This window comes from Homo sapiens, chromosome 9, assembly GCF_000001405.40.
Source record: "Homo sapiens chromosome 9, GRCh38.p14 Primary Assembly".
In the NCBI taxonomy this organism is placed as follows: Eukaryota; Metazoa; Chordata; class Mammalia; order Primates; family Hominidae; genus Homo; species Homo sapiens.
Genome location: NC_000009.12, coordinates 14,243,153 through 14,255,512, shown reverse-complemented (window position 1 = coordinate 14,255,512; position 12,360 = coordinate 14,243,153). Strand labels below are relative to the sequence as shown.

The 12,360-nt window shown below is 39.7% G+C and overlaps 1 protein-coding gene across 30 annotated transcripts in view, besides 1 other annotated feature; it reads left to right on the top strand.

Annotated features, from left to right (window-relative positions):
- The window catches only part of NFIB (nuclear factor I B), a 450,235-nt gene that overhangs the window by 276,565 nt on the left and 161,310 nt on the right, over nt 1-12,360 (top strand). The gene's annotated exons all lie outside the window — the stretch shown is intronic.
- Nucleotides 3,849-4,143: a silencer, noted in NCBI's record as "tiled region #8618; K562 Repressive non-DNase unmatched - State 24:Quies". NCBI's record gives its function as "represses a minimal TATA promoter and a strong SV40 promoter by Sharpr-MPRA in K562 cells {active_cell/tissue: K562}" and the evidence as "EXISTENCE:reporter gene assay evidence [ECO:0000049][PMID:27701403]".

The following is a 12,360-nucleotide window of genomic DNA, read 5'->3' as shown; positions in this document are numbered from 1 at the left end:
CATGTTTGGTTAATATAAAGTTTATCATCCCCTCAGTCATTGACCATACATCCATTTCATGAGAATTGTAAAACAAGGTAAAGTCAGATGCTCACAGTCATTGATATGTGCTACAGTTGAGATTTAATCCCCAGGTGATCTTACATTAAGGAAATGTCAGTAATCTGTTAGAGACACAAGTTCAACAAATTCAGCAAGATTCTTTTACAGTTGCAGAATCAAAAAATGTCCAAGTGTTAACTCCTCATGGTTCAGCCAAGTTTCTTTTTTCTTTCTTTCTTTCTTTTTTTGAGTCAGGGTTTCACTTTGTCATCCTTGTTGGAGTTCAGTGGTGTGATCATAGCTCACTGCAGCCTCGAACTCCTGGGCTCAAGTGATTCTCCAACTTTAGCCTCCCAAGAAACTGGGACTACAGGTATGCGCCACCACACCTGGCTATTTTTATTTTTATTTTGAAGAGATGGGGTCTTGCTATGTTGCCCAGGCTGGTGGTGAATTCCCATCCTCAAGTGATCTTCCTGACTTAGCGAAGGTTATTTTGTTTTGAAATTTGGAAGCATGGTTGGCGCTTTCATAAGCTAATACTTTAAAGCTTGTAGCTTTAAGGTACTTGTCTGAAGTTCACTGAAGAGGAGCAAAAGATCATTATTATTATTTAGGCCTCTAGACCTTGCTTGTAAATGCACATATATGCACATGCATAGATTCACACACACACAGAATCCCAACTACAAAGCATTTTTCAGAAGTCTTATTCAAATAAAGAGGTAAATGGCTCTGCTCTTGGTGAGACCCTAATAAGCATGTGATAATTAAATTATTTATCTCAGGAACCTATGTATCATTATTAACACTAATATTATAGCAGATGGGCTTTTGGATCAGTGGAGGGCCTTTGAGCAGCTATTAGAGAACCAGTGCACGGGAGTACTGTAAAATAAATTAGCCTCATCATTTCACTTCAAATCAGCAAACGATTATTGAGTGCACATCCCTGAAGATGCGTGTCTCCATGCTTATGTGCTTATGTCTGGTGGAGGGATAAGATCAGTAAGTAACGCAAGCCCATATCAAGTCAGTGTTTAAGAGAAGTACTGTATAAATGTGAAGCTACTGAGATGCAGTGGAGGAGCTCATATCTGGTTCTAGGGGTGGAGGGAGCATCTTATGGAGAAATGCTGTTTTGTTTTGTTTTGTTTTGTTTTGTTTTTTTTGAGACAGTGTCACTCTGTTGCCCAGGCTGGAGTGCAGTGGTGTGATCATGGCTCGCTGCAACCTCTACCTCCCAGGTTCAAGCGATTCTTATGCCTCAGCCACTTGAGTAGCTGGGACTACAGGTGTGTGCCATCATGCCTGGCTAATTTTTGTACTTTTACTAGAATGGGGTTTTGCTATGTTGGCCAGGCTAGTCTCAAACTACTGGCCTCAAGTTATCTGCTTGCCTCAGCCTCCCAAAGTGCTGGGATTACGGGCATGAGCTACCATGACTGGCCTGAGAAATTATGTTTTTAACTGACTTTAAAAGACGGGTTTTGTCAAGTGCTGGGGAGGCATTTAGACCAGGGGAACAGCATGAGCAAAAGTCAAAGGGCAGGAAAATGTACAAGAAGTTATCCAGTGTAGCTGGAATACAAGACCCATGATGTGCTGGAGGCCACGTGAAAAAAATAAATAGAGATTACTTCATGGAGAGCCATGAATGTTGGCTTGAGAGAGTTTTACTTACTGTAACAATTCCGCAAAGATACCTAGAGGCAGCACCCAGGTTATTACGTAGTCTCAAAAGAGTATTTCTGACAACTTCATTTTAAACATTTTTTTCTTTTTTTTATTAAAAAATTATTTTTGGAAATGGGGTCTCACTGTATTGCCCAGAGTGGTCCCTAACTCCTGAGCTTAAGCAATCCTCCCGCCTCAGCCACCCAAGTAGTTGGGACTAACAGGTGTGAGCCCCTGTGCTAGGCTAAAACATTTTATTTGTGCATTATTTCTTCATTGCCAAAGGATCGAAATCTCACTTGCTTTTTTCCTTCTGGGAGTTTTGTGGGCTGTTTTGGTCTGCTTAGAGAAAACCACACACTTCCAGGCTATTCTGCCTCTGTACATTTCCAGCCTTCCTTGAAACAATCATCTCGAGAACTGTGAAATTATCCCGCTATAATCTAATTGGTGGTGACCACTCAGTCCCTTTGCACCAGAGAACTTGTATCTAGCAAGTCTCTTTCTTTCAAACATTTGTTAGTTCGTTAAAGATGTTATGTTAGCAGTAGGATATGATGCATCTGAGAAGGAAATAAAAGACCAGGACAAAAGACATGTTGAATAGTCAAAGATGAGCTGTAACCATCAGGGAACACTAACTGTAGCACCTGATTTTGATTGAAAAACATGATAACATTGGCTTTGAAGTTGTTGCAGATCTGCTTAAACTTTCTTCATGGATGGAATGAATGAAAATTATGAAGCATTGATGTAAAAATAATTGTTTTTGGTCTTTTTTTTCTTTGTAGAAACCAACCTGCCTTCCCTCCCTCCCTCCCTCCCTTCCTTCCTTCCTCCCTCCTTTCCTTCCTTCCATGCATCCATCACCAGTCTTTTCTTACTGTACAATTTCCTTGACAGATGGACTTCTTGTAGAAGTTTACCTGAGTTTAATACGGGTGACCGTCATGGGTGCAATATTTTGCTGCAGGAGATGGAAAGACATTATTTTTTTTTCCTCCACAAAGTTGTATGGCAGGAACATGTAAAGCTGCATCAGTAGATCTTAAGACGCCTGTTCTCGTGATCTTGTTCTCACTTTGCTTAGAGGTTTCCCCAAGGTAATATTAATAAGGATGTATCCAGTAGTAACAGATAGTTCATTGACTCTATTATTTCTGAAACATGTATTGTCTTTTACGTAATAGTAGTTACTGCAGTCATTACAGTTCTTTTTCTTTTACATATTATAACTGAAGCAGTTTCTGTTTTTTTTAACAAATACAAATGTTTAAAAATCATGACACTTCTTTACCTTGCTGCCCATTATTTCTCAGCAGTTAAAACTTTATTACTTTACTGACAGAAAAAAGAAAGGATGAAAAACTATAAATATAATGATATAGAAAATCTACAGTATTTTTAAATGTCATATTTTAAAGATTTAGTCTCTTTAAAGTGAGTTTTTAAAATGAATTCATATAAATAAATGCAAAGTGCCATAGAAGTAATGAGGAATATTAAAAATATTTCAAGGTTTTTAAGGCATTGGGAAATATGTTCAAGACTTTGAAAACAGAGTCCACCAGCCATATCAGCCCGTTTGCTATTCCTGATGTTTGTATTTTCTTCTGGAGGAAGAAAGATTAAAAAGTGGATCTTGTTTTTTAATTCTCTGCATTAGGGAGTGAAATACTTTCTCTCACCGAAAGATAAGGGTAATCACAGTTTTAAAAACTGGCTACTCCTTACATGCATGTACCCTTGCAAATCCTGTAGCAACTGAAAAATCTCCTGATAGATGTAAAAATTAATTAATGTCTTACTACCATGCAAAGAATGTGGGCATAGGTGGATAACGGTGACTAAATCCCACAGAATTTGTGTGGCTTGCCTACTAAACCTCGAGTAATATAATATAAGTGAAAGCCAAAACCAGTTTTCTGTTGTTTTCCTCTCCAGCTTGTTCTTTATAAAAGTTGGACCTGTTTGTTTTGTTCTCTAAGTGTGCCATGTGCAGCACGCCTGTGTAATTCCTGGTCCTTGGAGCAGACTGCGGTGTGCAGGATGCCCGTGCAGGATTTGGGTGGCTGGAACTGACAAACTGGGATTAGCTGACCTCCTGCAGGAGGCTCCAGTGGCCCCTCGGCCGTGGTGAGAAGGAGCAGAGCCTTGGTGTGTATGTGACCTCTAACAGTGAAGTGATGCCTAGTTCACCGATACCACTTGCAGTAACCTGAATGACTGGTTATTCTGGTCAGGAGAAAATAGCACTGACATCATGTGATTCTGGCAAAGTAAACCACATTGGAACTTGGCCTTTGAATACCCAAGGGGCTGGCAGCAATCTCAGGGGTTGGCTGGGAGCCCCATTGAGTTCACTAGTAATCAGTTGACTGCTGAGCTGGACAAGCTGCCCTAGTTTTTCTGACAAGCTCTGTCTAAAAGAATGATGGGCAGTCTGCCATTAGGATTTTTAAGCAGAGTTGCTAAAGATTAACTCTTTAGCTACTGTAAATATATCATGTCCTTCGTTATGTGTTGGTATGCAATCAGATGAAAGCTTGGAGGGAGGTTCTAATTCCTCATTCAGTGATTGCACCTGGAGTTCCTCTCTTGTAAAACAAACACCCAAAGGCAAGGAAAAACACCGTAAAGTTCTTTGTATGTATGTTTCAAAGGAATGCCAGTGGATAGGTTTTTCTTGAGGTTTCTAGTTTGCTTTTTAAAACAAAATACTATAATCTTTAATTATGTAAAATGTTAGATGTTGCATTCTGATCATACTTCAGGAATAGACATCACCTAAGAAAAGTCTCTGAAAAACTACAAGCATTTAGTATTTACTTATTATGACACATACCCATGGATTTCATTTTCAAAAAAACTTTTATTAACTCAGAGTATTCTAGAAGAAAGGAGGTACTATACTCAAATGTCATAAGTCCAGAGAAACCAATTCTTTTGAATAAACGTGACTTCTCAATGGATTTATTTGGTTATCTTTTACTAGAAAAGGTGATACCTTAGTAACTTTTATTCCTTCTCTCACATAGTTAAAATAAAATATAATTGACAGAGATATACAGGTTGACTTAAAATATTCTATATACTGTAATCCCGGTGATGAATTTGGTATGTTTAATGTTGCTTTAAACTGGAATATTTCCTAAGGCATACTCTCTTTTCTCTAGGTAACTATGACATAAGCAAGGGAACACCAAAGTTCTTTGATAGTGCTTCAGCACTCCTTCACAAAATCAAATTGAGGTAGTAGTGAGGCCACTGTGGGGATGTAGTAGCCAATGATGTATCATTTATCTTGGGACACACCTGAAAGTTTTAATGGCAAAAGCTGAAGTTTTGGAAATCTGTCTTCCTTTTGAGCTAAGGCTTTAATTCTGCCTCCTCTTTGATCTTCCCTTCCAAAAAGCTGCCTTTGAGAAATGGTACAATTTCTCTCTCATGTTTAAGAGGTTTGTGACATTAGCTACCTGGGGACATTATTGTCCATCAGAGAACTTACATAAAGAAAACAAAAAAAGATATTATATGCACAGACACTGTCTAATGGATTCTTCCTGTTTCCCACTCCTCTTATCTTCCTTGACTCAGCACAAAAGTGCTCAACAGGCCATAAACTCAAAAGACCCTCCTCCCTGTTAGAGCTAAAAATCCTGCGTGATAACCTTTCAGATGCTCAGTTAAGGGCAAATTTGTAACTGAGTTTTAAAACTTGGTGTGTTACCCTAAGACTTATCAAGAAAAGAAGAAAGAGACTCGAGGGGTTTTGAACAAGGAGTTAGGAATAGGTGAAACTTTTTATCATGTTTGTTCCTACTGTGTGGGGTTTTGGGGGAGTCAGAAATGGTATCCACAAGACTTTGGCATTTATGATGATATTCCTGCCTTGTTCCGGAATTCCTCTATTTATCCCTTTGCATGAGGACAGTGTCACCACTGTCTATTGCTAGGCCCTAAATTATCTCAAGAAAGGGCTTAAGGGTGGTGAAGGGGTTGTGGAATTACCTTCCCCTCTCACTTTTCCATTCTCTCTTCTGCCCTCTCCCTCCTTCCTCATTTCTTTTCCCTTTACTCTCCTTCCTTCCTCTCTTCTTCTCCCCTCCCTCCCTCTCTCTCTTCCTTCCTTTCTATTTTTTTACAGTACTTGCTAAGTATCTACTATTGTCAGTGAATGCACAATGATATGCAATAATCATGATAGACGTAAACTGAGGAAGTTTATAAGATAATGGGAGAAAACAATTTCCCAAATCAAAGGATCACAAAAATGCACTTTAGCCTAGGCAACAGTGAGACGCAATCTTAAAAAAAAGTAGAATGAACAATTGTGGTGAATCATTTGGTGAAAAGGCACATGATGCTATAAGAGCATAAAACAAAGGGATCTTATAAATATGTGAGATTTCCGAGTAATACTATTTCTTGGTAATACTTAAGAAAAGAAAAAAGCTAAATCTTAGGTAGTATCTCATCTCCACCACTTACTATTTAAACTTGGGCAATTTGTTTAAGCTCTTTGACTCATAATTTGCTTATCAGTAAAGCAGAGATAATAATATCTACCCCCATCCTCAGTTTATGTAATTGGAAATACTAAATTTGAAATATTTAGTTGACGTACAGTGAGAATTTAATGAAAGGTATTTCTTATCACTAAGTTCTTATTTCAGTGGTCCTTTTGGTCACTGAAAGGTGTCAAATTCTTGCTGCTATTTGGTTTGTATATTAATTGCAAGTGTAAGAAACTGAAGTTATACAGACTGAAGTGAGAAAGGGAGATTATTCTCTGATGTAATTTAAAAGTCCAGTTTATCTGCAGGTACAGTTTGATTCAGGTGTTCAAATGATGTAACTGGGAATGTTTCTCTGATTCTCTTCCTATGCCATTCTCTTTGTTCCCTTACTTCTCGGGCAAAGAGGGTCTCTTTCCACAGTGAAGGCTTATATTCTATTAGCCAAGCAAACCCAGTGGGGAGGAAAATGTTCCCTTCCTCACTAGTCCCTGCAGACGTTCCTGGGCTGGATCTCCTTGGACTACCCCTGAACCTGTTGCTGAACTGGTGCTTTCTTCTCTTTGGCTATGCTTAAGTCTCCTGCCTGTTCTTGGAGAGGAGCTAGAGGAGGATCACGAGACACCCAAACTACATGATCTCAGAAAGTGGGGAAGAGTGGCTTCCCAGAGGAAAATTATTGTTATTACTAACAAAAAGTAATAGAGGCCGGGCGTGGTGGCTCATGCCTGTAATCCCAGGATTTGGGGAGGCTAAGGCAGGAGGACTGCTTGAGTTCAAGAGTTTGAGACCAGCCTGGACAACATAGTGAGATCCCATCCCCACAAAAAAATAAAAGATTAGTCCGACATGGTGGTGTATGCCTGTAATCCCAGCTACTCTGGAGGCTGAGGTGGGAGGATCACTTGAGCCTGGGAGACCAAGGCTACAGGAAGGAAGGAAGGAAGAAAGGAAGGAAGGGAGGGGAGGGGAGTGGAGGAGAGGGGAGGGCAGGGCAGTTTAGGTGGGAAGGAAGGAAGGGCAGTTTAGGTGGGAGGATTGCTAGGATGGAAGGAAGGGAGGAAAGAAGGAAAGAAAGAAAGAAGTAGAGCTGAGGTGGGAGGATTGCTGAGGCCAGGAGTTCAAGACCAGCCTGGGCAACATAGGGAGACCCCATCTCTACAAAAAAATTCAAAAGTTAGCTGGGCATGGTGGTGCATGCCTTTAGTCCCAGCTACTCAGGAGACTGAGGCAGGAGGATTGCTTGAGTCCAGGAGTTCAGAGTTACAGTGAGCTTTGATTATGCCGTTGTACTCCAGCCTGGGTGACAGGGAGAGACCCTGTCTCAAAAAAAAAAAAAAAGAAAAAAAGAAAAAATTAGTAGATACTGTGTAGACAACACCTAAACAAACAGGGCAGATATCTACTGTAGATTTTAAAAAATAATAAGAACACCCTGTTCCTGCTTTTAGTTTAGGTAGAAGTGAAACTGTTAATGAGGTGACATCAAAGCATGCAGAGTACCCACTAATTACTGAGTCTTGACTGTATGCCAAGCAGTGGGCCATGTACTTCTGTATTTTATTTCTGATCTTCACAGTGACCCTACAAGGTAAGTATTAAAATCTTGCTTTAATTTTATATCCAGTGAAATTATATAACTTTTTCATGGTTTTTCAGCTAGTCAGTGGTGGCGGTGGCCTTTGGATGCTTGATCATCCTTTTGCCCTGCAGTGGTGCCTGTGCAGTGTCAGATGGCCCTCCTGACCTGGAGCAGTGCAGAGACGTGCCATGTAGGCCTCCATGACTGGCACATTTTCCTGTGAGAAATGGAGTAGTCCTTTTTTCTAGGTCAGGGATTTGAAAGGCAGGACTTTAGAATCCTGTTCTGGGCATGGTCACTGCCTCTCCCTGCATTATTGGATGGCGCATGGAAGGCCTCCAACCATTAGCTGGATCTGTCTGTAAAATGGTGACAGTGTTAAGCTTTTGAGAGATTAATGAGTCTGTTTGTAAAGTTAAATACATTGTGCATCATACCAGAGACAGTCTCACCACTTAATTGTGGACTGTTCAAGTTCTCTTGACTATGGTATAAGTCCTAGTCAGCTTGGGTTGTCATAACAAAATACCATAGACTGGGTGGCTTAAATGGTAGAAATTTCTTTTCTCACAGTCCTGGAGGCTGGGAGTCTGAGATCAGGGAATTAGCATCATTGGATTCTGGTGAGGGCTCTCTTCGTGGTTTGCAGACAGCCACCTGCTTATTGTGTCTCAGAAAGCAGAGAGAGAGAGAGATATAGTGAAAGAAAGCAAGAGAGAGAGAGAGAGATCAGGCACATTGGCATCTCTTCTTTGTAGGGATACTAAACCCGTTTTAACAGGCCTTCAACTTTATGACCTCATTTAACCTTAATTACTTCCATAAAGACCCTGTCTCCAAATGCAGTTACACTGGGGATTGGGTCTTCAGCATATGCATTTTCAGGGACACAGTTCAGTCAATAGCAGGGTGATATTAGTGGTTTTCTGTGAACCACACATATACCTTGATATTTCACTCTAGCCTGTTAGCACTGTCAGTGGCACCAAATAAGAGGGTTTGGCATAGGATGTTTCCTAATATTTGCCTGTTAATTTGGGGGAAAGTAATTGGAAATTACTCACTGAAGTTCTCATTTACAGCAAAAGCTCTTCAAAAATGATATGGCAAACATATGGGCATTCACTCTACAAATCCATGTATGAGATGTGTGGAAATAGAGCTATCAACAAAGGGACTGAAGGCTCAGAGGAGGACACAATGCAGGGTTGATTAGGAAGGACTTCAGCAGAGTGAAATTAAACTTGATATCCCAGGGTAAATGGGATTTTGCAGGGTGAAGGGCAGAGAGGCATTTTGGTGGCTGGCTGGAGCACAGTCCTGTATGAAGGTGTAGTGACTTCCTGTACCTAAGACAAAGGGATGTGGAGAGCAGTGGGAGCTTCCTCCCATCTAATGGGTCGGAGTTTAGAATACCAGTGCCTTGCCAATGCAAGGTATTGGATTTTATCCTAGAGGCAGTGGAAAGCCCTTGAAGGTCTTATGGAAAAGGGAAAGTGTTAAAATTAGGTCTGGGTTTTAGACTGGCGAGTTTTAAGTGTAAACATGTTGATTAGAGAGCTTAGAGTCTAACCCACGCTGTCCCTGATATCTAGAATGCCTTTTCCTCTCTAATTCTCAGGAATTAGAGAGGAAAACCACACATTCCTGTTCATTGCACACATTTGTGCAACCACACATTCCTGTTCATTCTTCAAAACACTCCTCTAGAGTGATGGATATTTACAGTAAACTCATTTCTGACCTGTCTAGATGGAATAATCACTCCCTCCTCTGTCCCACTTTTATAATTTATGTGTACTTATTATTATTATCATTTTTCGAGACAGAGTCTCGCTCTGTCACCCAGGCTGGGGTGCAGTGGTGCGATCTCGGCTCACTGCAATGTCTGCCTCCCGGGTTCAAGCGATTCTCGTGCCTCAGCCTCCCAAGTAGCTGGGATTACAGATGTGCATTACAACGCCCTGCTGATTTTTCTATTTTTGGTAGAAATGGGGTTTTGCCATGTTGGCCAGGTTGGTCTTGAACTCCTGATCTCAAGTAATCCACCTGCCTTTGCCTCCCAAAGTGCTGGGATTACAGTCGTGAGCCACTGAGCCCGGCCATGTGTACTTATTATTGCTTGTATGACATTATAGTATAATCATGTGTTTACGTATCTCTCCCACTACTTGAAGAACCTTGAGAGCAAAAGGGTTGCATTTTTTTTGTTGCCGTTGGTTTTTTTTTTCTGTTTTGTTTTGTTCTGTCCTGGTTTGCATTCAGAGTATATGGTGCTTGGCATATCTTAGGTGTTCTTGTTTGTTGAACATAACCAAGCTAAGACTTCTGTGAAAGTCAGGAGAGCAGCAAGAAGGACATAGGAAAGCTTGTACTGGTAGGAATAGAAAGAAGGAGGCATATTATTATGGATGTAGGGAGAAGGAGTTGGGTGTGACTGTGATGTTTCTAATTTCGTCACCTGGGTAAATGTTAGTTTCCTTAACAGAGGCAGTGGAAGAACCACTGAGTTTGGAGGTGAGTTGTTCAGTTTTTTTCTTCTAGGTTGGGTAGGCATGACCCAAGTGTTGATGTCTGACAGGCAAATGAAAATACAGGTCTGAATTTAGCTGTTGTTATCCCAAACCTTTGAAGCCAAAGTTTGATTGAGGTTGCAGAGGGTGATAAAGAGAACCAGGGGAATGCTGACTTTTAGAAGAATTGGAGTTAATACAGGAGAATGATAGTGAGAAGTCAGATAAGTAGGAGGAGAATCCGGACACCCCAATGTCATGGAATCAGAGATGAGAAATTAGGCACATGCTGCACTAATCTAGGCTGATGTATGGCCAGAGACTTTTATCATGAAAGTACTGTGTAATAATAATAACAGTAGCAAGAACAACAATAATAGTATTTACTATTTTTTTAGTACTTATTGTGTTCCAGGCATTTTGCTCAATGTTTTTTCTACATATCCCATTTGTTTCAAACTTTGAGCCTATTATCTTTGTTTAAATAGATATACAAATTCAAATTCAGAGAGGTCAGTAATTTGTCTAAGGCCAACGGCTAATAAGTATTGGAACTGGGCATGGTTTGTGAACTTTGATATGCTGCAAAGTTACTAAGCAGTTATTTTATTTTTTGGTGGGGATCTGTCTATGGAGATTGTGGAGATTAAAGTTATCGGTAAAGCTTACTATACTCATTCCCATTAGCTCAGAAGAAATGTAATTCTTTCCTGCTTACATGGATGAGAAAGTATGTGGGTAAGTTTCATTCATTTTGAATGTCTCTCATTTAATCAGCAGATTCAGAATGTATTAGTGACTCCAATATATCTGACTGCACTGGTATATGGTATATATTTTAACTTTGTTTTCTACTATAAGGTCATTTAAAAACCATTCTGACCTATCATTTCCTCTACAAATTTCTTATGCTTATGTTGTACAAACTGAATTTTTATATAATAGAGAGGATTATTTAAATAGGAAAGAGAATCCTGAATATCTTTAAGCACTTACTTTGTTTAGTGCTTCTATGTGGAGTTGCATGCTTAAAAGAGACATACACAATAGCCATTCTTGAAAATATTTGCTCATAATTGCTACACCCTTATGGATGTGTTTTCATATATAATTCAGGAAAGAAAAATTATTGCGTATGATAGATTAGTATTACCACATAATAGTACTGATTTGTGTGTCCTATTTTAGTGCATTGCTAATTCTCACGTGATAACTACAGTATACGGTAATTTCCATGAAACCAGACAGTTTAATTCTGCTACCAATGTCATTTTAATGCAGTTGCAGCCATATCTGTGGCTTCAGCTAGCCCTTGTGCAGGAAACCCTCCAGCAGCAAGGATCCTGGCTTGAGCTCACTCAGTCATTTTACTCCCACATGATGTCATGCAGCTTAGGGTTTCCTGGTCTTTGAGTGGATGAACATTTCTGCCTTTTAGGCTATCTGAGACGAGGTTGGGATTTCTTAGGACGAACTTTTACGAAGAAAAATGCTGAGAAAAAAATGAAATACAATAAGATACCATAAAAAAATGGATGAGCACAGGTTTTTGTTTTTGTACTTTTTTTTTAAAAAATACCCAATTAGGTAAATCTAACCATAGGTTGACTTTCTGGCTGGACTTGAAAACTCATTTATTTCCAGTTTGTCTTCCCTCATGAAACACAATAAAACAAAACAATTCCACCCCCAAACCTGCTCCTCTTCTAGATTCTCAAGGGACTTAGGAATCGGGGTAGAAGAAAATGGTCAAGACAGCCCACCTGATTTATTTCTCTTACTTATCCAGATTTGTTTTGGAATCACATGCCAGCTTCTCCACCTTCAAATGCCTTATGATGCAGAATATTATATATTTTTTGAGAAGGTAATATAAGTTGCTTTTTCTTCTCTTTCAAATAATTAGTTATCTTTTTTCCACTTCATATGCTAGAAGTAAAACAATAAAGAAACCTCTGGGAATTTTCATTAAGTGATTGGTTTTCATATATTCTGTCTTTCTAAGGAGGGAGGGAAGGAATGTCATTTA